This window comes from Homo sapiens, chromosome 16, assembly GCF_000001405.40.
Source record: "Homo sapiens chromosome 16, GRCh38.p14 Primary Assembly".
Lineage (NCBI taxonomy): Eukaryota > Metazoa > Chordata > Mammalia > Primates > Hominidae > Homo > Homo sapiens.
Window position 1 is genome coordinate 49,399,803 of NC_000016.10, and position 27,078 is coordinate 49,426,880.

Genomic DNA, 27,078 nt, shown 5'->3' on the forward strand with positions numbered 1-27,078 from the left:
AAAGGGGACCTGAAACCTTTCAGAGCTGGTAGGTGCCTCAACATCAGCAAGTCCAGGACCTTATTCATTTGAATAAAAGAAGCCACAGAGGGCAAGAAACTTGCTCAGAGTTACATAGATGAGAAACGGCAGGGTTGAGATGAAAACAGTATCTTCCCCAAGTCTCCTGCCCTGCTTTCTTGCATGACTGTGGCCAATCCTGCAGGAATTTTTTGAGACACAGCCTTCCCATCTGGGTATGCTGGCCAACCAAGGTCACAAACTCAGGCCCTTCCAGTCCCTGCAAGTGTTTCAAGCAAGTCTGAATCCCACGTGTCCTACTTAATAGCTGTGTGACTTTAGGAAAGTTACTTTACCTTTCTGTGCCTCTGTTTCCTCGCCTGTAGAATGGGTTTAATGACAGTATGTGCTGAGCAGGAGTGCTGTGAAGAGCACATGAGAGCTTGCATGTGAAGCAGGGAGCACAGTCAGTGACAGCCAAGAACTCCATACAAATGTGGGCTGTTTCGTAGTTCACTGGGGTAGACGAGGAGCTGATTTTCCAGCCGCTGCTTTTCTGAGAGGGATCCCCAAAACTAGGCACGTCAATCCCCTTGGAAAAGCTGCTAATACCAAATCCACATCTGCTCATGGCAAACCTAAACATCTAATGATCTCTGGGCCTCCAAGAGCTAGGCCACACCCCAGAGATACTCCGGTACAGAATCTCGGCTGGGCAGCCACTACTCCAGTCTGTCTTGTGAGCAGGTTTTACTCCCTGACTCCGTATACTAAAATAGCAGGGATTTTCCTTCCATGTACTTTTAAATTTCCATATCCTACCCTGAGGTTCTAAAGTAGTCTCTTGAAGGTAAGTAGGTCTCTCCACTGAAAGTCATTGCCACTGGGGCTCAGAGAGAGGCCCTGGGGGCTGCCGGACCCACCCTCCCCTACCCCACGCCAGCCCACCCTAGGGTTGCAGTCACCACTAAGGAATACAACACCCCTCCAAGGAGCGGGCAGGCCAGAGAAGTATGAGCCCATGTAGCTTGCCTAAAGTCACACAGCTACTAAGCAGGACACTCGGGATCCAGCAAGCGATGTTTAGACCGAACTACAGTGAGACCCAAGCCAGAATCCAAGGAAACAGCTGCAAAGGGTTAAGCGATACTCCCTCTCTCCAGCAAATACCAGTCCCTTGGGTAGAAACAGTGCTTCAAAAAGGTGAAAGGAAACAAATTTTCTGAGCATCACAAGTGTCAGGCACTTCGTCAATATTAACTCAACCAAAATCAAATCTGAAAGCATCCTCAGAGGCCTTCACTTCAGTATCACAGACTCGGCAGCTAGGGAGAGCACCGCCAACCTCTATCCTGCATTGATGGCCCTAGCCTTCATTGCCTGGTAAATATTCACATTCAGGCAGGACTAGTGATGAGGAACAAATTAAACAACAGATAAAATGGCCCTAAAAAGTTAAATGTCAGATATATTAACCATAGCGATGTAATGTGACAGTGACCATTTAGCCATTTCATCTTCAGACTTGTTTTTTCCACAGTTTTCTGTGATATAATTCAGTTTGATTATCTCTGCAGTATCCTTAGTGTGTCCCTTTTAAAAATGCAATAGCCGGCTGGGCGCAGTGGCTCACGCCTGTAATCCCAGCACTTTGGGAGGCCGAGGCGGGCGGATCACAAGGTCAGGAGATCGAGACCATCCTGGCTAACACGGTGAAACCCTGTCTCTACTAAAAATACAAAAAATTAGCCAGGCATGGTGGCGGGCTCCTGTAGTCCCAGCTACTCGGGAGGCTGAGGCAGGAGAATGGCATGAACCCAGGAGGCGGAGTTTGCAGTGAGCTGAGATAGCGCCACTGCACCCAGTCTGGGAGACAGAGTGAGACTCCACCTCAAAAGAAAAAAAAATGCAATAGCCAAAAATGGACCCAGAATAAGGCATGAAGCCAGTGGCTGGATTCCTTTCTTGTAATAAGGACTGACTTCCAGATGACATGTAGATTTTATGTATTCATTTTTCCCCTCCACCAGCTGTATTACATGGCTGATGTGCTATACTTCCCCTGTGGTCCACTAAGACCCCTGGATCATTTTCTGAAGAGCTGGAGTCATACATCAGTTCCATTCCTCCACAACTCACTAGGAGCCCCAATGTGAGAAAGGTATTCAGAAAAAAGGGAAGCCCAGCCCTTCTGATGTCACAGAGAAGCTGAGGGAGATGCCAGCATTTTGGCCTTAATCAGGAGCTCTCCTCACTGTGTTGTGCTTGGTAGTAGCAGGAGGATGTGTGTAATCCCAAATGCTGCATCCACTCTCAGCTTCTCCAAATCCACCCAGGGCCCACATTGTCCCTGACTTTTCACAGGTTTCGATTCATGTGCAGTCAGAGAAAGAGGGCAGACCTTGATCTCCTCTAGTCCATTGGCCTCCAGTCATATTCCTCAATCCTAACACTCAGCCATTACATAGTTACTAAGCACCCACCTATGGGTGTGTCATCCCTGCCCCTATGGGAGTCCAGGGATGCAGTCATTAAGAAAACCTGGTCCTGCCCACATGCGGTTTACAGTCCTGAAGACAGAGGAATAACAAGCTATTTGAGAGCACCACATGATGAGTGAGGTGAAGGGAATCAAATGTCCTCAGAGAACAGGGGGAGGAGGCCCTTCACCATGGACTGGGAACAGCAGATGATGGAAAAGCTTCTCAAAGGAGAAGATATCTAATGTCACACTTTTATGGATAAATAGGAGTTTCCAAGATCTTTGTATAGGAGGAAAGAGCAGACAGAGGGAACAGAATGTACAAAGGTTCAGAGGCCAGAGACAGCGTGGCATGGCAGAAAAGCTGCAGGTAGGTCAGTCTGGATGGAGTGGATGATTAACAGGAAGCACAGTGGCAGGAGATAATATGCTCAAAGGGTTTGCAAGCTTCACGACAAAGGCTCCCCTCACCCCCGAAGGTTATTGTTATTCATTTGTTATTCATTCATTTAGCAAATATTTATTGAACACCTACTATGTGCCAGAAACTGTTATAACTACTAAGGCCACGGCAGTGAATCAAAGCATTCCTTTGATTTGAGCTTACGTTCTAGTTGGGGACACAAATAATATGCACTTCAGCAAAAGGCTTTTTTTGCAAGTAATGACAAAGATTTTAGCAAGTAATGAGAAACTAAAAATGGTGGAATGCAAGAAAAGTGACTGGGAGGAGGGTAGGAGAGGATGGCTTTAGCCAATGTGGTCAGGCCAGGCCTCCTGGAGGAAGTGATTGGGTTGGCACCTGAAAGATGAGAAGGAGCCACCACGAGCAGACCTGAAGGGACAGCTGCAGCAGAGGGGATGGCAAAAGCCAAGGCATGTTCATGGGACTTGCAGGAAGGTCAGTGTGGTGGAAGCAGAGTGAACAAAGGAGAGAGTTGGGAGAACTGATCAGGTCAGGCCTTGGAGGCTATGGTCCTGAGTTTGGAGATCATTCTAGTTGCAACAGAAAATCATGTTGGAGGGCAATAAGTACAGGAGAGGCCCCTCTGGCTTCTGAGAGGAGAAAATATTCTGTGGGAAAGAAAGAGAAAGCCTGGAGATGATTATGGAGGTATATCAGTCAGCTACAGCTGTGTAACAAATAACCTCCAAAATATAGTTTAAAACAACACAAATTCTCATGATTCCACTGGTCAATTGAGCATCTCTGCTGATCTTTGTTGGCCAGGCTTAGCTGAGCTAGGCTGGAGTTACACGTCTGCAGTCAGCTAGTGGGTTAACTGGGTCTGGCTGGTCTAGTGTGGCCTTGTCTGGGCTGGCTGGCCTCTGTTCCATGCAGATCTTCCTCTAACAAGCTAGCCTGGGCTTGTGCTCATGGTGGCAGCATTCCAAGAAGTACACAAGGTCTCTTGAGTACTAGGCTCAGAAATGGCACACAATCACTCCCACCTCACTCTAGTCTTCAGTGCCCAACACAAGTCCCAAGGTCAGCTCAAATTCAAGGATGGAGAAATAACCTGTACCTATAGAAGGAAAGAGTTTCAAATAACTTGGATGCAGGGAGTAGTCCAAGACTGTGGGCAATTCTGCAATCAGCCTACCTCAAGAGGCTAGTGTGCAGTTCAAGAAAGACAAGGTTGGAGGCTTAAAGTAGGATGGCCATGACAGAAGCAAATTATTGAGAATGTATTTTGGAAGTAGAGCTGAAAGAATTTGTCACCAGGTTGAGTGTGGACAAGAGGGAGAAGACTCAGGAATGACCCTTGAGCCATCCTTTGGCCTGAGTGACTGTCGGGTGTGCCATGAAATGCAGTGGGAAAGAGCAAAAGAGAGAAAGGCACAAGTCAGGATTTGGGTTAGAATTGGTTAGATGGGAGATGCTGCCAGTATCCATGATGTTCCAGGGGTCATGAGGAACCACTAATGGGTTTGGAGCAGGAAATGATGTGGTGAAGGACAGATTGGAGAAGCAAGCCCAGAGACAGGGTACATTCGCTTCTCAGAGCTGCTAGAATGAAGTACGACAACTGGGTGGCTTAACACAACAGATTATTTCTTCTTCTTTTTTTTTTTTTTTTTTTTTTTTTGAGATAAGGTCTTACTCTGTCACCCAGGCTGGAATGCAGTGGCATGATCACAGCTCACTGCAGCCTTGACTTCCTGGGTTTATGCAATCCTCCAACCTCAGCCTCCCTAGTAGCTGGTACTACAGACATGTACCACCACACCCAGCTATTTTTTGTAGAGACAGGGCTTCACCATGTTGCCCAGTTGGTCTCAAACCCCTGGACTCAAGCAGTCCTCCAGCTCTGGCCTCCCAAAGTGCTGGGATTACAGGTGTGAGCCACAACACCCAGCCCAGGCATTTTTCTCACAGTTCTGGAGAGTAGAAGTCCAAAGTCCAGATGTTGGCAGGACTATGCTCCCTCCAAAACCTCTGGGGGAGAGTCTTCCTTATCTCTTTAGCTTCTTGCAGCCACAAGCATTCCTTGGCTTGTGGCAGCACAACTCCAGTCTCTGCCCCCATCTTCACAGGGCCCTCTTCTCCATGTGCCTCTGTCTCTTTTTAAGGGCACCAGTCCTATTACATTAGAGCCCACTCTATTAACATGATTATATCTGTAAAGTCTCTGTTTCCAAATAAGATTATTCCCAGGTATCAGGGGATAGAACTTCCACACATCATTTGGAAGAACACAACCAACCCATAATACAGAGACCAAAGGTGGAGTCAGAGGCCCAGGGATGGGTGGAGTATCCCCCTATGATTCCCCTGAGTTCATGGTAGAGTTGCTGCTGGAACCCACATGCTTAACGCTCTCCTCGACCTGTCCCCACAGCCACACCCTGCTGCCCATCTGTGCCCAGTGAAAGTGCCAGAGCTTGAGCCCCAGGCTGATGGCCCTGGGAGGCAGGCCCATCCCACTGCCTCTCCAGTGGTACATTCAGAGCCAGGCCTGGGGAGCTTCTCCCTCTGCAAACCCAAGGCCCCTGTTTGGAGACCTGTACATCAACACAAAAACCCTGTTCATGAAGTAACGTTAGCAGGAGGTCTAGCCCAGCCCCAGCTGAGCTGAATGCCACATCCTCAAGAGATTGCTTGGTGCCTCCAGAACCTCCAAGGAGGAACTGCTGTGGGAAGCCCACCTCTCAGACACCAGATGCACCTGTAGCGCCAGACTGAAGGTTTTTCTGGGGTTCGGCGTGAACTGGAAAAGGGAAAGGAAATGAAAGCAGAGAAGAGACCTTGTCCCACTCAAAACAGCTGAGGCTACATGGCTCCCTCTGTGGGTGCAGAGTGCTTTTATTCTTGGACCTCACAAGCATAAGAAGCCTTAGATTCATGTTCCTGACATCCTGACCAGGCGAGCCCACAGTGAGTCCTAAGATTCACAGCTTGCATTGAGAAAAGAATTTTTATCAGACAACCCCAAGCCAGCGTCCATCAGCAGACAGCACCACCTGCAGCACACTCTAAACGGGTGTTTTACAGACTCTGAAATTGCCTTACGAATAGTATAATTCTATTGCACTCCCTAAAACAGTTACTACCAGATACAGAAACAGACAAACACATATACCAGGAACAGATTCACACGTGTACTATCCCCTGGTTTATGGCAAAGGTGACACTGCGGTGCAGTGGAGAAATGATGGTCTTTCCAATAAATCAGGCTGGTCAATTAAATATCCATATGGAAAAAATATTGACCCTCTGCTTCCCACCATATGCAAAAATCAATTTCAGATGGATGCAGATTGTGGAAGTTTTTAGAAGAATGGTAGATGACAATCTCCATGACCTTGGGGTAGGCAAAAAGATTTTGAACACAACACAACAAGCTCCAATAATAAAAGAAAAATGTAATAAATTGTATTATATTAGAATTCAGAATTTCTGGCCAGGTGCAGCGACTCACACTTGTAATCCCAGCACTTTAGGAGGTTGAAGTAGAAGGAACACTTGAGGCCAGGAGTTCAAGACCTGCCTGGGCAACATAGTAAGACCTATCTATACAAAAGGAAACTTTATTTAATTAGCCAGGGATGGTGGTGGATGCCTGTAGTCCCAGCTACTCAGGAGGCTGAGGTGGTAGGATCACTTGAGCCCAGGAGGTTAAGGCTGCAGTGAGCCACGATCATGCCACTGCACTCCAGCCTAGACAACAGAGCAAGACCCTGTCTCAAGAAAAGAAAAGAATTTCTACTTATCCAAGACATCACTAAGAGAGTGAAAAGGCCAGCAACACAAGCAAGAGAAGATATTTCTTCTGACAACATATCTGACAAAGGACTCCTATCCAGGTGATATATTTTTAACTCCTATATATATTGGTAAGAAAAAGGCAGGTCACTCAGTGGAAAAAATAGGCAAAAGCTTCTATTAGTATAGAAACTTCACAAAAGAGGATAGCCAAGTGACCAATAAACATAAAAAATGTCATTAATCATCAGGATATGCAAGTTATAAAACACGATGCAGAATCACTACGCACACACTAGAATGGCTGAAGACTGGCAATGGCAAAGCCCATTGGTGAGAATCTGGAGCAATCAGAACTCTCACACTCTTGCCATTGCCCTGCAGGTTGGCACAACCACTTAGGAAAACTGGGAGCATCCAGTAAAGTTGAATATACACTCCTCTATGGTCTGGTATTTCCTATGCATACATACTGAACAGAACTGCATGCACATGTGCACCAATAGATGTAAGCACCAATGGACGTGTGCACCAATAGACGTGTGCACCAATGGATGTGTGCACCAATAGACGTGTGCACCAATAGACGTGTGCACCAATGAACGTGTGCGCCAATAGATGTGTGTGCCAATGGACGTGTGCGCCAATAGACGTGTGCGCCAATAGATGTGTGTGCCAATGGACGTGTGCGCCAATAGACGTGTGCATCAATAGACGTGTGCGCCAATGAACGTGTGCATCAATAGACGTGTGCATCAATGGACGTGTGCGCCAATGAACGTGTGCACCAATAGACGTGTGTGTTAATGGACATGTGCGCCAATGGATGTATGAACCAATGGACGTATGCGCCAATGGACGTGTGCACCAATGGACGTGTACACCAATAGACGTGTGCGCCAATGGATGTGTGCACCAATAGACATGTGCTAACTTTTGCAGCAACTTTATTCTATATAACCAAGAACTGGAATCAACCCAAATATCCATCAGTCAACAGTAGAAAGCATATCTTGCAGTATAATCATGCAATGGAATACCGCATGAAAACAAGAATGACCAAACAATACGGATGCATTATACACAACGTATTCTGCAAAAGTAGCAAAATACAAAAAAGAACACCTGTGGAGTTCCATTTATACAACCTTCAACCCAGGCCAAAAAAAAAAAAAAATAGAACCTAGACCTAATCTATAGTGTTGGAAGTCAGGATGGTGGCTATCCTTGGAAGAGGGGGTATGTGATCCACCGGAGGCCAGTTAGCTTAGAAAATTCATTGAGCTGTGCACTTGGGATTTATGCCCTTTATATGGGTATATTGTACTTTAGTTAAAAGTACATTTTAAAAAGAAATATACTAAGTGTTTTTTGTTTAAAAAAAAGTTCCGGTTTCGTTTGCTAAAAACAATAGGCTCCTCAATGGTGAAGCTATTCTAGTTCCTTCCACCTCCCAGAGGCAGAGGCTAAACCTAAGTCCCTTAAGGCCTGGCGCATGTCCTCCAGGTGTGCAATGACTGTGGCAGGGCGTGGCCTTGTGCAGCTGCTGGAGTAAATTTCTCCCCTTCCATTTCTTTCCCTCCTCTTGCCCTTCCCCTTCCCCTTCCCTTCCTGCGCCACCAGGTGGGGCTCTATCACAGCAGAAGGCTACTCTCCTGACGGTGTCCACGCTGTCTGGCCCGGCTGCTGGCAGAGCCGTCAGCCTATCCAAGGGGAAGCCGGGCCCTCGAGCCTAAGCCTCGGGTAGATGAACACAAGCCCAGCTACTCACTAACATCACTTTTCTGAGACTTCAATTCTTTTCCTCCAAATCGGGGCAAGAAATGCAAGTTAAAATAACCATGAGGTACCACTCTATGAGACTGAAACATGTTAGAAAGCTAGGGAAGGCCAATGTTGGCACAGACGTGGAAACGAAGGAAGCTTCATGCCTTGCAGTAGGAGTGTGGGCCACTGCAGCCGCTCTAGGTTAAATTACACATGGACACTGCAGGGACCTAGCAAGCAGCCCCACTCCTGGACGTATATTCCAAAGTTCTATCCCAGGAGATCTATTTAAGGACACTAGCACTGGCAGGAATGTCTGGGTGCTGGTGGATGGCAAAACAAGGTGAGTGAAAAAGATGGGAAACAGGATGAGAAGGGACACTCTAGTCTTAACACAAACTGAAAATACACACATACAACAACACACTGCTTACAAGAACACATGCAAATACATTCAGACAGCTGGAAAAGGATTGGGAAGGGAAGAAGGAAGAAATGAAGGAAGGAAGGGAGGAGAAATAAAATGTGAAAGAAAATACCAAGTTTCAAGTGTTGGCGTGAAAAGAAGAATCCAAGGGAAGTTTCAAGAGTCTCTAGCACTTAGCAGGCACCCAGGAAATTTTCATTTTCTACATGTGCCTTTAAGCACTAACATTTATTGAGTGCCTACTGTGTTTTAGGCAATGTGCCAGGCTTCGTAATACAGTAATGAACAAAGACCAAAAAATGAAAATTCCTGCCACTGTAGTAGCTTTGAGACTTATTCCACAAACTTGAGTATAGGAGAAATGGCAGAGCCCCCTAAATCAAATCACTAAAAATCTGATTTCATGCCCCTGTTGAGCTGGACTGGTGGAAATTCAATTTCCATCCCTTAGTGGGGCTCCGTCTCTTACACCCCCAAGGTCCTGGACAGAGCAATACCTTGGGGTAGGTGCCAACCTATACTGGTCACTGCTGAATTGCTGCAGGTCACAGCCCAAAAAGTTCACAAAGTCTCCACTCACAACAACCACTTCTCTACCCCCTACCCCCACCACTGCCATGCTTTCTTCTGAGGCTTATGCCTTCCTCTCACCCCAGTTCTCACCTCAAAGAGCATGGGCTTCCAGACCAACACAGGCAGGCTGTCTGCAGATCCCTTCAACTCCCTGCTTGGCAGCAGAACCTTTCTGTGGCAGGTAACTGAGCGCAAAGCTACTCTCCTCTGGGAAGGTGGGCAAGGGAGGGAGACAGAGAACAAAGGTCATCAATCTCAGGCTTTCAAAATCTTCTCCAAGACGATGAACAAAACACAAGTCAAAATCACAAGAAGCAGCCCTGACTTCATTCTTATTTCTAGGATTTTAATTTACCCAATATGCACTGGTTGAGCACTTACTGAATGACGTGTGTTCCAGGGCCTAATATGAGTGGTGTGGTTTCTGATGACATGTGAAGATGATGCTAGCAATGGCTGCACCTAACTTTGGCAAAAAAAGGAAAATATATGTGCATGTGTATATGTATGTATGTTTATATATGTATTGGTGCATGTGCATGTGGTGTGCATACGTGTGTGTTTATATGTATATATGTATATACGTATATGTGTGTGTGTGTTCCTACGTGTGTGTGCGTGATGTCAAGTAGCTTCTGGAAATCAGTCCAATCATTTCCTGGTCTAGTCTCTCTGGTTCAAGATACAAATTCCAGAAAGAGGGTCTCATTGTCCTCTCTAGGGTCAAGGCCCCCATCCCTTGGCCCAGGGAAGATGGAGCACCTAAAGTGCCAGTTCTACCAAGGCCACACACAGTGGACGAAGGGTAGTTTCTGAGGAGAACTGAGATACTTATTGGTTCTTTTGCTGGCTAATAATTTCTCCCCAAACAATAACAAATATGTATCATCCCACATGGTTCCTGTGGGTCAGGAACACAGTGGGGTAGCTGGGTCTGTGATGAGGTTGGTGTCAATCTGTCAGCAGAGCTGCAGTCATCCAAAGGACTGGCTGGGCTGGAGGATCCGTTTCCAAGGTGGCTTAGTCTCACAGCTGGCCAGCTGGTGCTGGCTGTTGGCTGAAGGTTTCAACACCTCTCCACATGGGCCTCTTCATGGGGCTACTTGAGTGTCCTGACAACATGGCGGTTGGCTTCGCCTGAGCAACCAGCCCAAAAGGGAACAGGGCAGAAGCTAGAGGGCCCTTGTTGCTGTCCCCTGGGAAGTCACACACCCTGCTGCATTGCCTCACTTCTGTAATGTCCTGTTAGTCACACAACTCAGCCCTGGTCAGTGTGGGAGGGAACAACACAAGGGTGTGGAGACCAGGAGCCAAGCATCACTGGGGGCCATGGTGAGGACTGGAGACCACAGGTGCCATTACAGAAGGAAGCAGACCTGGAGGCAAGGCAGGCAGGAATGACAGATACTGACCACAATGATGATGTCTTTGGAGCTCACAGTCTAGAGGAAGACAGAAGAAAACAATGCCCTCGTTAATTCATAATTACTCACCTAAGAACACCCTAGTAATGGGGGGAAAAAAAGAGGGTAGGACCCAAGAAGGGGCAGCAACTGACCTTCTCTGGAGGAGTCACAGGGGTACTTGCAGAGGTGGTGACATTTGCATTGGACCTTGTAGGGAAATAAAAGGTGGGATGAGGGCACCCCAGGCAAAGGCGGGAGATGGGAAGTGGGTGGAATCTAGCTTTGCTGAGTGGTTGAATGGGGACAGCACAGGAGAGTGGGCAGAAAAAGACTCTCAAGCTTCCCAAGCCCCACCTGCCTGTGGGGGACCTACTCCCAGGCCCTCCTCTGCTTCCTGCCCCCACAACTCAAGATCTCTGGCTGCCAAGGGAGAATGGGCCTGGTTTCTCTGCAACCAGGACCCATCTTCCCCAGTGAACTGGCCCTCTAGGAGGACAAGTTATGGGCCCTGCCCTTCTGGGAGAAAGGCCTGACTCCTGCTGGGCCCTGCCACCCACCCCAGCTGAGAGTCAGGGGACAGGGGAGTGGAGCTCTCTGTTTCCCGGAGTCACTGGGTCTTGGCCAGCCCCACCATTCCGTGCCCCTTTCTGGGATTGGTAACAGCCAGTCAGGGTCCTGCCATTGCACTTGGCCATTCCTGAGCTCCCCCAATCCCCTGCTACAACACACACACAAATTCCTACCCGCTCCAGGCCAGCTGGGATCAGCTTCAGCAGGGCCGGCTCGAGCCACTTTGCTTAAGGCATCAGCCTCCCCAGGGTGCATTAGGCAGGCTTCACTGGCCAGAGAAGGACCACCTTGTAGGGAAACGGGCTCCAGGGGTTCAAATCCCCAAAGGGAAGGGGCTGCCTGGCCCCAGCTGTAGAAACAACAAAGGAGTGCAGCACACAGTGGCCCCTCCCTCCTCACCCATGCAGGCAGTGATGCCACGCTGCATCCTAAATGTTCAAGGCCAGAGTCACGTGCATGCCTCCCATGGGCAGGGCTCAGTACCCAGGACCTCAGGCCCCCTCCCCACAGGGCCCCAGCAGTGGAGAGGCTGCCACCCTGGACCCAGGCAGGAGGGGAGGAGCAGCTGCCCACTCCCGGCATGCACCCTCTGGGCCCCGCACTGAACACCAGCCTGCTAGCATCCCCCAAACCAACCCGAATCCAAGATAAAATTCCCCCTGGCCCCCAAGCTCAGGAGGGCAGTCTGTGTCCCAGAGCCTTCAAAAGCTCCAGAAAAGTGAAACCTCTGCTTGAACAGCTCCCAGCCCTGCAGCAGAGAAAAGGGGAGAAATCACACCAATAATCACCACTGGCAGCGTTTGCCTCTGAGCTACAAAATGTTTTCACTTATTTTCCACCATCAGATGCCCACTGCAACTCTGCAAAAGGAAAGATTTTATCCTTATTTTACTGATGGGGAAGCTGATGCCCAGAGAAGGGAAGGGACCTGTCCAAGTGCACAGTTAGGAAGCTACCGAGCCAGCATTAAGCCAGGCATTTTGATGATAAACCTGGGTCCTCTTTAAATCACTCATTTACTCAAGCATTCAGTCAACTTGCAGCAAACATGCACTGAGCTCTTCCCACAGGACAAGGGATGGGCTCACCACCCCACTGCAATGATGAGCAAAGACAGACATGGTTCCATAAGTTTACAGCTTAGTTGGGGAAACAGTCCTTAAATAAGCCTTTAAAAATATGTAATTGCAAGTGAAAGAGCACTGTGAAGAAAAGAATGATTTAAGTCATTAAAAAAAAATCAGAGGAGGAGTGACTTCCCCCAAAGGGTAACCAGAAAAGAGTATTCTGAGGAGGTACTTTGAAACCATATCAAGGCACAGCAGAAATGAGTATCAGGATTGATTAATAATGTCTGCCATGGTCACTGGATTCAGAAGTGGTGGCATGCATGCCAGATACTTGTTTATCTGGTTTATGCCCTCACTAGGATCCTTGATATCCAAAAAGAACTAGACATAATTTTAATTCTCCTGGAATTCACCATGATGTAGAGTAGATAAACATTAGAGAAGAAGTCATAATACAAAACAGCTCATTGGCTTCATTAATAGAAAAATCAAGGAAGTAAAATACAGCCAGTGAGGGAGTAACTGGTACCCAATAGGGTGATGCTAGCAAGGCTTGGAGGACTCTTTCCATGGGACATGGGAGCTTGTTGAAAAGAAGGCCCTCCTTTTAAAGAGGAGAAGGCACTTAGCACCAGAGGATGTTGAGACATTTCTGTCTATGGCCTAAGTTGGGGAGACAGCTGGCTCCTGCTCTGACCTCCTCTACATTCCTAAGAATTCCAGGTACAGTCCCTGCCTGGAGATACTTCTCCACCAGCACTCAGAGCACCAGCCTCGCCTCAGACCCACCATGAGAACTGACCTTCTTCCATCAGTCCCCCTAGGCTCAGCATCCCATTAAGTGTCCCATCAAGGCAGCTTATGGCTCCTTTTGCCACTGCTGTAGGGCAGCCTGCTCAAAACCCACCAGATGTAAAACAGCAACCTTGAGAAGCAATTGTTAGGTCTATCGAAATATTCAGAGCAGCCTGCACTTAAACTGTCGTTGCACTTATTCTGACTGTAATCAGTCATTTCTGTGGCTCTTAATTCATTGTCTGTAAGTACCAAGACAATGGACTGGGTATAGGATACTCACCCCCAGATTCCCAGTGCCTGGCACACAGTGAGTGGGCCACTCAACAATTTTATTGAATGAATGAACTATTCTAGAAAAAAAAAAAGAGTTGGGACAACATAGAGAGGCTGATAGTTTGGGTCTTGCCCCAGGGGATAAGCAGGCCTCCAGGTTTCAGGGTGGTCAGCAGAGGGTGACAGCACTATGGTGGCAGTTTCTCTTGAGTTCTGCTCCTGAGCCTCAAGGATGGAAGATCTCCAAGAGAGGGTGGTGAACCATATCATGTGCACCCTCTGGTCCACAGCCTGGCCACTTCATGCTGTTTGGAAGAGGCCATTACTTTCTTATTGTGCCCACTCTGTTGGTCTTGTGCCATCTGCTGGCACCTACCAGGCAGAACCCTTGTTTTGAAAGAGTTAAAAAGTCCTCTTGGGAGAGTAGACTAGAAAGACAGTCAATGAGATGGATCAAAGGAACATAGAATTGGAACTTACAAGAGCTCAGTGAAGATGGGCTCAGAAGGCTCCTGGGAGTCAGGTTGTCCAGGATGAGCAGACCTCAGACAAGTAGACAGGAGAATCTTTGGATAAGGGGACCTCCATGGAGGAGGAAAGAATAATATGGGATCAGGGAGAAGATTGGTCCGGTGGGAGTAGGGTCTTGGGGAGGTGTGAGGACTGGGAAGAGAAGGCAAGGTAGAGCTAGCTCATGGCAGCCCTTGGCTCCTGGCTGAGAAGTTCAAAGTTGAGCCTGTGGGCACCAGGACGCAACCATGAACCTTCAAGAAAAGACGGTCTGAGCTGATTGTCTGGGGCTTTTGGGGGGTGATGGGCAGAAAACATATCTGTGCCTCCATGGCAGCCAGATTTTGTAGAAAAGGGGAGAAAGGCCCCAGGGAGCCAGCCATGGATGACTTCTGTAGACCTTGGTTTTCAGAACATGCCCCATCAAAGCAGTCGGTCATCTTGTTAGTTCTCCAAACAGCACATCTTCCCTAGATCAAGACTCCAGTGGAAACACAATGGTCACAAAAGTGGTTTTTGTGTCTTGGTTTTCTGGGTCTCCCACTCCCCCCTCCCTCCAATATCTATTCTCCATTATTGGCCAGACAAAGCTCATCCCAAGATCCCTGCGTCTCCGTTGTAGCGAACATCTGTCCTTTCTCACCTGCGCATTTACCCATCTGCGTCTCCACGAAATCTTTCATCCCATCGACAATGTAAGGATTCAAAGTAAGGAGGTTCACGTTGTCAAAGAAGCCTTGATCTGAATGCCTTCCCCCCACTTTCTCCTTAAATGAGTTGTTAACAGGAACCCAAGTGTCTGTTGAACCTAAAATACTTTTTTTTTAAAAAATAACATTTCAAGGTAACTTACGGGCGCACTTTAAGAAGCGAGGACTCAGCGTGTCCCTGGCGGCTTCCTCCTTGAAGCTCTGGTCTTCAGGGCTGTGGGAGGCATCCAATCAGACAGGCCGCCGCTGAGGGCCAGGGGAGGAGGGCTGCCGGGGTTTTATTTCAGATTCGAGCTAAGACCATGAAATGGAAGGCAGGAGGAAAAGTGAGTGAGTGTGTGTGTGTGTGTGTGTGTGCGTGTTTCTGTGTGCGTACGGCCAGAATAATGAGTCGCACTAATTCATAGAATTCCATTTTGGCCATCACACACGGCTCCCTTTTCTCTTGAAGGCCACTTTGAAAAATCCCGTTTTCATAAGTCATTTACTTCCCCTAGGAGGGCAGGCCTTCTAAAAATATTCCCCACTTCTTACACCTCAGAAGCAAATTATTTATGTTAAAGCAGCTTCGTTATCTGGGCCCCACCGGGCCAGCTTGGAAATGGAGGTGACTTCCAGAAGGCACCATTGTCAACGGTAAAGTCCTAGGAGGGACCCATTGCCGGTGAGGTGAGGCTTTCTGCCAGGCCCATGGGGCCCAAAGAGCACTTGCGGGTCCATAAGGGGAAGCTCTCTTCTATTTTTCTACAAATATTTACCTACGAGGCACTGCCCTAGACCGTGAGTAACCACCGAGCAGACAAGGCTGCTCTCACAGAGCTTGCATTTCAGTTAGGGGAGACCGACGCTTGATAAAAATGCAAATAAATATACTGAGAGTGTGAGGGCAAAATGATGGGAGAGGCCTCCAAAGGATGCACTGGACATTCTGCAGGGTGAGCAGTCAGGGCCCTTTGCAGCCACACCTAGATAACAAGGAGGATGCCCTACAAAGATGGAGGAAGTTGTGTTTTCCAACTAGAGGGCACCGCTCAGGGCAGAGGCCCAGAGGCGAGAGGAGCTGGGTAGCCCAAAGGAGCACGAGCGGCCTGTGTGGCCAGAGCAGAGGGAGCAGGTTGGGCTGCAGAGGGAGGGGAGGCCAGAGGGCCCAGGAACAGAACCACGAGCCTTGAGCCCAGGGATGAGAGAGGGGAGTTTTTGTGTGCCTATTTGCTCTCCATGCTTCCCTGGACGACAAATTTACTGCGATTCCAAGCCCCACAGGAACAGCGTGCCCCAGTAAGAACCAAGATGCAGGGGCCGCTGTCGAATGTGAAATTCCCCGCGCACCCCTCATCTCCACTCCCTCTCTCCACCTGGGAAAAAGCAATTAAAAATCACCTCTGAAAAGTCGGTGGGAGGAGGAGTGGAGTTGAGGAGGGGGCATGCTTTAAATGTAGGTGGAACCTGTCACTGGCCCCCCAGAGGGGAGTTTGTCTTCCCCCTTTAATCAGTCATAAGTCCTGTCATTATCCAGTGGGGGAGAGAGAAAGCACGAGGCAAGGAACCGCTCCCTGGAGAAGCCCCTCCATTCTTTCCATGTCCATAAGGCAATTAAGTCTTCACGTTCTCAAACCTGAAGGCTTTCATGGGCCGAGCCAATTGGTGTGTCTCCATAATGAGGGGGGCCTTCTGCGCCGGGGGCACATTTTCCTGGTAGCTTCCAGGCTCATCCTGGCCTGGCGGAGAGGCATCTGCTGCAGGCTCTGAGCTCTGCTGCCCACCCAGCCCTGGGAGGAGAGGTCAGAGCATGCTCTTTTCTCCCCGGGTTTACCTGGGACCGCAGACACAGCCCAGGACACCTCAAGGCCAGGGGGTGGGCTGCAGCCAGGCTAGGGGTGCAGGGCCGAGGCCCCGGTGAGCAGGAGGGTGGACTCTGACACATAGCCAAGGCGGGGGCTCTCTGAGCGGCGCAGGGCTGGGGCCTGGATGAAAGGCCTGTGAATAGGCTCATTACCAACGAGCCCCAGATTAAGCCTCTATTATGGGCCTATAATTGGAGAGTTAATTATTCAGCTGCCATAGTGTGCTGCAATGGAGCCAGGATGGTTCACCCAGATACCAGGCCTCGGCTCGGGGGTCTCCTGGGTTACCTGGCAGGACAGGACCGGTGTCAGGTGGGGAAGGGCCTCCCTAGACCAGGTCTTACCCTGGAAGCCAGGGGTATAGTGGGGAGCAGTGCAGACCCTCCCTGCCCTTATGGGGTGGGCAGTCGCACAACAGAGAGGGAGGCGGGGGAGATATGGCCACACAGATAAGAAAAAGTATGGCTGGGTGCAGTGTCTCACGCCTGTAATCTCAGCACTTTGGGAGGCCGAGGTGGACAGATCACCTGAAGTCAGGAGTTCGAGACCAGCCTGGACAACATGGTGAAACCCCGTCTTTACTAAAAATACAAAAATTAGTTGGGCATGTTGGCACACGCCTGCAGTCCCAGCTACTTGGGAGGCTGAGGCAGGAGAATCACTTGAACCCAGGAGATGGAGGTTGCAGTGAGGCGAGATCCTGCCATTGCACTCCAGCCTGGGCGACAAAAGTGAAACTCCGCCTGAAAAAAAAAAAAAAAAGAAAGAAAGAAAAAAAAAAGAAGAAGAAGAGAAAAGGTACTGGGAGGGGATAGTGCAAGGTGGCCTGTGGGTGGCTGCGGAGGCCACAGCTTCAGACCCCCGCTGGGAGAGCCAGGTCAGGAAGAGGCATTTCAACCTGGCAGAGTTGAAGCAGGAGAAGAGAGGCTTCCGGCAGAGGGAGCAGCAGGTGCAAAGGCCCAAGTGAGAGTTATGAAGAATGGGTTCGGGGTATGAGGTGGACTCCCAGGCAGAAACCAGACTAGTCAGGAGTTTTGTGGTTTAAAACAGAGGAATGACCAGGCACAGTGTCACATGCCTATAATCTCAGCTCTCTGGGAGGCTGAGGCAGTAGGATCACTTGTGCCCAGGAGTTTGAGACCAGACTGGGCAACACAGTGAGACCCCATTTCTATAGAAAGCACAATTTGAAAAAAACAGCTGGATGTAATGGCACACACCTGTAGTTTCAGCCACTTGGAAGGCTAAGGTAGGAAGATGGTTTGAGCCCAGGAGGTTGAAGCTGCAGTGAGCTATTATTGAACAACTGCACTCCAGCCTGGGCAACAGAGCAATACATTATCTCTAAAAAAAATAAAATAAAATGAAATAAAATAAATAAAACAGAAGAGTGAGAGGTTCAGCTTGGCATTTCTTACAGCTCATCAGGGCCACCATATGGAGAGAAACAAGGCAGGGAACAGAGAGACTTAGCAGGAGAGAACCATGGGCTCACCAGAGCCACCATCTGTAGAGAACCCAGGGGTGGCAGGGGAAGGGAGAAAAGTAGACACTGAGGGCTATGCTGATGTTACTAAGGCCAGAGACACAAGAATACCCAATCACTTCCCTGTCAATTACCACCAGCTCTCCACTCTGCCAGGAGAGCTGCGCACAGGGCCAAAGAGCAGGGTGCCTCAAAACCCACTCCCTCTTGGGCATGGGGAGGAAGGCAGAGCGCAGAACCCGTGGGGTAGTTGAGGCTTCACTGATCCTCTCAGATGCCTTCCTGGAGGAGGCGGCAGTGAAGGGGAGACAGGCAAGTCTCTCAGAGCAACCAGAAGACCATAGCCACCACCTCAAGTCTTCAGGAATCCCAGGGGCTGGGCTTTCTGTGGTCTCAACCGTGTGAGTTTCAAGGCAAGGGTGAGCCATCCTAGGATGGCTGCCATGGCTGGCAGTGAGGAGCGGGGAACTTGGAGACCCCGAAGGGCCTTCCAGTCCTAAAGTCCGGGGATTCCCCTGAGTCTGGGGGTCAAAGGATCTGGGAGAATGGATTTGAACAGCGACTCTCACTGCTAGGGAAGGGGCTCCATGGTCACCCGCCTTCCACATGCCAGAGACAGACCTGAGAAGGGAAGGAGCCCAAGCCAGTGGCTCACACAACCCCAAAACCCTCCTGGCTGAGGTTTTTCACACCCAAGATCACTGTGGTGGCAGTATTTGCCATGCTGTTCTTCTAGGACTCCTGGGGAGAAGCCTACTGTTTATTGATAAGGATAGAAATGATGCACAGAGAGCCCAGACATGCCGCTACCCCTTATGGGCATCCTTTTCCTAGCCCCATTTTACAGATAAGGGACAGGCTTAGAGCAGTGATGGAAGCTGACGATAGCTTCAAAAAGTGAAGCTCTCTGGTGCCAGGGGCTGAGCTCTTGGCTTCCTCAGTGTGGCACAGTGCCAAGATGGCATTTGGTGTCGGGGGATGCATGGAGCCACTGTGGCCACCCTGTGAACTAAGACCACCAACTGGCACCTTCACAGAGCCAGCAAAGAGCTGGGGCCCCTCTCAGATGGTCTCCACGCCAGAGGCCCCGGGCCCCCATCACGGGCCCCGGCTCTCATCATGCCTGCCCAACACCCCATGCAGGCGGGCATCTTGGCTGGGAGTCATTGTCTCTAACAAGTTAATTGTGATGGTGGAGTGCGCCTCCCCCTCTCCCGCTTCCCGGCGCCCGATCAAAGCATTCCCATAATGACAGGAGACCATGAAAGGAAACTTGTAGGTGGTTAAATGCGGTTTCTTGCCTGTGCAAGGCAGCAGGGAGGGGAAGGACTGTTTTGTTTAAGGAAAGCTGCCACGCCACTTTGATGTGAGGTTCGTTCTCTCACAGAGAAGATGCTAGTGAATGAAGCCAGCACCAGGGCGGGTGGAAGCTCAGAGCCTCACCTTCCATGGCAGACAGAGGTAACAGGCAGAGACAAGGTGGCAGAGCCGGGCCAGGGTGAGTGTGGGCAGCCTGCTCACTCTTCCTCCAAGAAGCACCATAGACATTGTCTGGAGTGAGGCTCAGGGCTGGCCACTCAGCTCAAAAACTTGCAGCAGCTCCCCATCCACAAATGGGTTTTCAAACTCCCAAGCAGCCAATATATTACAGCCATTAGAACTCCTTTGGTTGCAAGTGACAAAAACCACAACCCAAAGTGCGTAAGCAAGGAGGGAAATGTGTTAGCTCTTGTTAACTGACAGGTCCATGGCCAGCCTGACATCAGATAAGCTTGATCCAGGAGCTGGATGGATCAGCTCAGCTCTCCTTCCTTTGCAGGCTCTCTTCTCTGACAAGTTCTCCCCTCGGATAGTAGAGGGGCTGTGCCACCCTGAATTTACACCTTTCTGGCTTCAAGCCCAGAAAGAGGGAGCCAGAATGCTGCTTCCTGGTCATACAAATGCCCCTTGACTTGCTCTGACTGGCTAGGCTTGGATGACAAGGCCTCCTCCACATTGATCACTTTGGCCAGAGCCGTGGAAGGCATCTAAGAATTAGAGTAGGGAGATGATCTTGGAACTGCTAATCTAGTGCTCCTCCTGGGATGCCACACAGCCCTAGCCATGCCTAACTCTGCTCTTACTGTGACACCAGGGAGCAGCATCACCTGCTGTTCAATCACAAACCACTGTATGCTTAGGAAAACATTGTTTTCCACGGGGTCAGGCAGGAGTTCTTTTATTTGTCCTCAACAGTCCTCTTTCCAGCCCCCACGGGAAAGGCACAGACACTGGCTGCTTCATGTCCAAGGCATAAAACTGGCTGCTTTTATGCTGTCAGCCTTCCAAGCCCCTGTAGGGTTGGCCCCCACGGGCTGAGTCTCCCCTGTAACTTAGCCCAGATGATAGACAACCAGTGATTAATAGCTCAGGTTCTAGAGTCAAGTCTTGATTCTACCAAGAAAAGTTATTTCACCTCCAGAAAGCTTAGCTTCTCCATGTTCAAAATGGTGATAATAAAAATACCTAATTTATAGCATCATCAGGAGAATTCAGTAAGGTCATGCATGCAAAGTGCTTAGCCCAGTGTCAGCATGTCTATTGTGCGTTTGATTCTGTGCTAAGTGCATTTCATGCACTAGTCACTCACTCTTCAATGAGTTCCACAAATATACGTTTTTAATTCTTTAATATGGAAATATTCACACCTACCAAAGGTAAGAGAATAATAGAATTAACCCAAGTGTACTCATAACTTTCATCATTATCAACATTTGGCCATTGCTGTTTTGTCTCCTCTCACCCCCATCATACTTTTTTCTTAAACTGGACTATTTTAAAGAAAATTCCATTGGCTGGGCACAGTGGCTCATGCCTGTAATCCCAGCATTTTGGGAGGCCAAGACAGGAGGATCACTTGAGTCCAGGAGTTCAAGACCAGCTTAGGCAACATAGAGAGACTATCTCAACAACAACAACAACAAAATTTAAAAAGGAAAGAAAATCCCAGACATGCCATTTTACCCGTAAATACTGCAGCTTGTAACAAACAGCGAAGGCTTCTTCTTTCATCCTAACCTGAATGCCGTTATCACACTGAACCAAATTATTAATTTCTTCACATTATCTAACACCTAGTTCTTATTTGATTCTTCTCAATTCTCTCCAAAATGTCTTCTTATAGTTAGCAAATATTTTGGGGTTCCAACTATGAGCAAGGCTCTCTAGCAGGCGCCTGTAGGAGCGGCAAACAAGAGACAGAGTCCCTGTGCTCGTGGGGTGCCCCTGGCAGTCGGCAAGGAAGATCACACACAAGAACGTAAATAAACACTGTCATTTCAGAGACCATTAGGATCAGGAAGAAAACTAAAGCAAGGTGGAGGGTGGAGAGATGTGAGGAGTCATTCCAAGCAGATCGGTCCAAGAGGCCTCTCTGGGAGATGATGTTGGGCCCAGAACTAATTGATGAGAAGGAGCGAGGCATGAGGCACAGGCAGGGAAGGTGCTCCAGGCAGAACGAGCACAAGGGCACTGCTCAGGCATAGGCTTAGTGAGCACTTGGAAAACGTGGCTGGAGGGGCTGTGAACGTGGGTGGGGAAGGGGTAGGAGGGAGAGGGCCAGATCACTGAGGACTCTATAAGCTGCTGCAAGGAGCTGAATGAGATGGGAATCACAAGATTCACAACAGAGAAGCAGTGTGATTGGACAGAGGCAGGGTGAGTCTGTCAAGAGTCCTGTATGGGGCAGATGACATTTTTGATGCATATTAAGCATTCAGGATGAGCTATCAAGCACATTTCTAATTCACACAACAGCCCTTGAGAAATATGGATCATGAGCCCATTTCATGGGCGAGAAAACATGGGCTCTGGGGGTGAAGGCCACGGTCTCTCAGCAAGCTCGTGGTGGGGATGGGCCCTCACCCTCATCACAGTGCTCTGCGGGCTGCTGATGGTTTGGGGGAAAGGTAGCAGAACAGACGAGGAGCCCAATCCATAGGTGGAAAGATGGAGGCTTGGAGGGCTTGGGTCAAGGCCACATGGGCCAGCAGCAGCAGAGACCATGTCTGCTGCCTCCATCAGCACCATTTGGAATGGCTGGGTTTGCCCACTGAGTGTGTCTACAGGGAGAGGCGCCGACAGTCCAGGCATCGATTCCATTTTCTGGAAAGCCAACCTGGCCACAAGAGTGGGTGTGCACCTGGGTTTGTTCCTATCGATCCTTGGATTTCAGGAAGCTGCTCTTCACTCCAGATGGATTTGCCAAAGGCAAGGAGAATGCCTCAGGAGGCCTGGACTCTTAGGAGCAGTGGCTGCTATTCAGGAGGATGTCCATGGCAGTGCCCTGGGTCACATGCTAAGGATGGGAAGGAGCAGCCTGGGAAGCCCTGACAGGGAGGGCCAGCTGGAGAGGCAAGGTTCAGGAGGGAGGCGAGGTTTGCCATGAGAAGTGGAATTCAACTCTGGGTTACTCCAAATCAGAGCACCTCGCCTGGAGCCTTCACCTGGGTCTTGGACAGATGATATCAGACCTTCGAGATGAAACATCAGATTTGTTCCCCAATCTCCTAACAGCTCTTAACACGATACTATGACCCACATTTCAATATGAGGAAACCGAGGCTCAGATTCATGGAGTCTGTGAACTAGGATATTAAAAAAAAGGTGACATCTTTATTTTCACCCACCTCTAACTAAAATTTACTATTCCCTTAAATTACAAATTTAGTAACAAATTAAAATAGTCTGATCAGTGCCTTCCACTTCATCACCGCAAGAAAGCACAGACATTTTCCTCATCATCCCACAGTGTTGCAGATACCTCTAGACAGAACTTATGCTTATCACTGCTGCAAAATGATAGTCACTTGACACGAGGTAAGGTGCTAACAAGGAAACATATTCCTACTTCACGATTTAAAAAATATTTTAAAAACTGTGCTTCCATATAATTGGCTTCCTTTACAATGCCATATCTTTTATTTTATGCATTTCAAAGCATTGTTCTGAGACTGCTAAGTGTTCCATGGCACAATAAAGGTTAAGACCTCCATCCCCCATGATGAGTGAATGCAGTGCCCGGTGCAAAGTAGGGACCCAAGGATAGTTCACCCATCATCCTTCACAAGGTGACAGAGACAGATGGTGGCTCAGTGCAAGAATAACCCGATTGCTCCTCTTCTGGAGGACCCTGGAGAGCTCCAGAGGAGACTCACCGAGCCTTGCAGATCAACCTGAGCCTCTGCTCCCTCTGCTAGCACTCCCTTGCCACTCAGGGCTCTGCCTGGGGTCTGCTCACACCACAGTCCCACCTCCCAGCTCAGTGCAGACCACCACTCGGTGCTGAGCTCCCAGCAGAGCCCAAGCCCTGAGGCAGCCCCCCGGACCTCCCTGTACCCCCTACCTTGTCTCCCTGCTTCTGTTCTGCCTCCCCTAGCCCCACCCCACCTTCAAAGCCACCTACCACATTACAGCGTAGTGAGGTTTTAAAAACATCCCAGCACTCTGGGAGGCCAAGGCGGGCAGATCACTTGAGGTCAGGAGTTCGAGACCAGCCTGGCCAACATGGTGAAACCTCATCTCTGCTAAAAATATAAAATTAGCCAGAAGTGGTGGTGCGTGCCTGTAATCCCAGCTACTCAGGAGGCTGAGGCAGGAGAATCGTTTGAACCTGGGAGGCGGAAGTTGTAGTGAGCCAAGATCACTCCAGCCTGGGTGAAAGAGGGAGACTCTGTCTAAAAAAAAAAAAGTCCTGTCTCATATGTCCGCACTCCACTTTCAATGCTCCATCACTGTCCTTGCTCTTAGGATAAAGACCTAAATCCTCAGTCTGCTCCATAAGCCCCTGCCTCATCCCACACCCATGCCCCTCTCACTCCCACTCCCTCTATTTTCTGTTCCTCAGATGTACCCCCAGTCCCTCCCAAGTCGGTACCTCGCAGGTGCTGTTCCCTCTGCCTAGAATGCTGTTCCCCTTTCTCCTCACCTCCTTAACCCTTGCTGCTGCCTCACTGGGCCAGCTTCTTCTAACATGTGCTGTCATGGCTTCAGGGACCTTCCATCAGAGCACTTGCTGTGGCTACATTTTACACATTTTATTTAGACATATTTATAATATGTAATTCTGGTCTCAGTGTGTATTAGTCAGCTTTAGCTAAGATATGCTTAGATAACAAACCAGCCCCAAACCTCACCAACTGACAACAATAAGGATTTACTTCCTGCTCTGGCCACACATCATCCCTGACTTTATTCTGCATGTCATTTTCCTTCCAGGATCAAGGCTGAAGTAGCATCTCCACTCGGGACATGCATTTCCCATGGCAGAGAGAACACAGCAATGGCAGGACCACGCGATGGTCCTTCTGTTCACAGTGGCCACACCTTCCATTGGTAAAGCAAGATCCATGGCCTGGCCAGAGGGTAGTGTAGAAGCCTCAACCTCCTGCAGTGTGAGACACTGCAAATTCCAAGCAAAGTCCCAGTGGGCAAAGGTCTTCTGATCTCCTTCCTGGAGGCAGCCAATAATCGGGGACAGAGGACAGCCTGGCACATCTCACTCAACAACTGTGTGCTCCTTAGGGCAAGATTGAGACTGCGTTTCCTCATCATCGAATCCTACAGGATGTGTGAATGGGTGGCAGGCAAAGGAAAGAAAATCATGGAGGATGAATTCCAAGTTTTGTATCCACTGAGGACAGGGGCCCAGCCCAGGTCGTCAGGGGTGAGGAAGGGAACACACGGGGACAGCTACACTAATTTGTGGTCTCCTGGCAGCCGCCATATAGACCTGAAGAAAACTGGGGTTCTGGAAGGAAAGGGGCAGAGAGAAGCAGTGAAGAGATGAAGTAGCCACCACTGCACCAGCACGTCCTGAGCTTTTTGCTCAGAGCATCCCATAGCACTTGTTATCCCTTGTCTGGCTAAATGTGTGCAAGCTCCCTTTCCTCCCCTTCACTCTGGGCTTTCCCTTCTATTTCTGTTCTGTTAAAATTATCCAAGACTTCCTGCGTTGTTGGCTGACCCATATCCTTTTAGGAATGTAATGGAATCTTTTATTTTTTTTTAACCAAACTTATAACAGAGGGAATGGAATTTCTAACCTGATTTTACTTAGAGAGAAACTGACAGTCAGAACTTATGAAGTGACTTTGTCAACCTGTCACATCAAGTAGGAGTGCTCAGAGCTCAGTGTTCCTTCTGTGGCTCTGTCCTGGTCAGGGGGACGCACCTTCGCTCCACCCCGCTACGTCCCGCTGGAAGCCGAATTCAGCTGGTGTGGCCAGGGTCTGACTCAGGGCCACATGTCCCAAGTTCTCACTACTACTTTGGGGTCCCAAAGTATCTGGGAGTGGGAAGAACCAGCCACTGTCCCCTTCCCCACTTCCACCACCAGATTAATCCTCTTGCCACAACACAAAATCAGAACCAACACCTGGCTTAAGGATTGTGTATTTCTAAATCTTTCCACTCCTCAATTCTAACAATCAGTGGAGGCCAGACATGGTGGCTCACACCTGTAATCCCAATACTTTGGGAGGCTGAGGTGGATGGATCACTTGAGGCCAGGAGTTCAAGACAAGCCTGGGCTACATAGCAAGACCCCATCTTTACAATAAAAATTTTAAAAATTAGCTGGGCACAGTGACATGTGCCTGTAGTCCCAGCTACTTGGAAGGTTGAGGTGGGAGGATCACTTGATCCCAGGAGTTTGAGACTGCAGTGAGCTATGATTATGCCACTGCACTCCAGCCTTGGTAACAGAGTGACACTTTGCCTCTAATAAATAAATAAATGAATAAACACATAAAAGTAAAAGTCAGTGGAGAAATCTGATCTCAAATTTTCTGTGATTCTGGAAGCTGTCATATCTTTGGCCACACACTGACCTGGGAGGCGAATGGGGATGGGGTGGGGCAATAGGAGGGTGATGCTTTGGACTAGATTAGACAGAAGGGCACCCCAAATCATAAAGCTGCAGAGCAGCCGCTTATGAGAGGAAGCACAACCTTTGAGAGTGTGGCCTCCTAAAAGCTTTGACAGTTCCATCTCTCCGAGCTCACTTTGGGAAAGTCTTCTAAATTACCAAGACAATACTGTATTAAGAGAGATTTTGTATTTGGTGTATTTAATGAGCAAGCAACTCCCAAAAGACCTTTCAATAAAGCCAGTAAATTTAACAGGAGAAATGCATCAATTGGCTCTGCTGTGCTGGTTAAGAGGCCGCCGCTTTCTGCATTTACAGACCCCAGCGTGTATTATGCTAAGAAAGCCCTGGAATCAGTCTCTGAGAAGAGGGCTGAAAGGTGGGTGCAATTAAGCAGCTAACGTTCAGCCCCCCGCTGCCCCAGCTGAAATGATTATTTTAATGTAAAAGCAATGAAGTTGATGAGAAGTTGCTCAACTTAGGGAGCCACCTGCTCACCATCAGAATGTCCCTGCTCTGAAGAGTCTCTGAGAGTCAGGCTGTTCATAAAGGCAGGCCAGAGACCAAATCAAAGACTAAATACATAAAGGCATGCCGCACCCCAGACAGAGTGCACAAGTGAAATTGATTTATGGAAAGCAATATTGTGGGTTTTGACAAGAAGGGAGAGAAGATAAAATATTCATATCCATCATCTTTTTAATGTGACTGCAGGCCATCTTGGTGCCCTTGGGTGGAAGTTAAATATGGGGTAGAGACTTTGGAGGGTGACCAGGGCTCCGCATTGGGACAGAAAAATGGCCCTGTTGTTGCCCATGAGCATTGCAGAGCCTGTGCCAATCACTTCCCCCACCCAGCTCCCAAAACTCAGATGAAAACTCTGCTGGTGGTTTTATCGTCTTTTTTTTTAATTAATAAACTTTATCTGTCAGAGCAATTGTAGATTCACAGCAGAATTGAGCAGAAAGTACAACAAGAGTGTCCATATACCTTTTGCCCCATCTGCACACAGCCTCCCACTATTGACACCTGCACCACAGCTGCACATT

General features: G+C 48.9%; 1 long non-coding RNA gene across 1 annotated transcript in view; it reads right to left on the minus strand.

The window, feature by feature from the left end:
• The window catches only part of LOC105371244 (uncharacterized), an 81,768-nt gene that overhangs the window by 27,479 nt on the left and 27,211 nt on the right, over positions 1–27,078 (minus strand). The window contains exons 3-7 of the long non-coding RNA XR_001752167.2: positions 14,937–15,087; positions 11,606–11,781; positions 11,015–11,069; positions 10,869–10,898; positions 9,547–9,663 (exon numbers count right to left, since the gene is read on the minus strand). This is a non-coding gene — a long non-coding RNA (uncharacterized LOC105371244). The remainder of the gene's footprint in view (positions 1–9,546; positions 9,664–10,868; positions 10,899–11,014; positions 11,070–11,605; positions 11,782–14,936; positions 15,088–27,078) is intronic.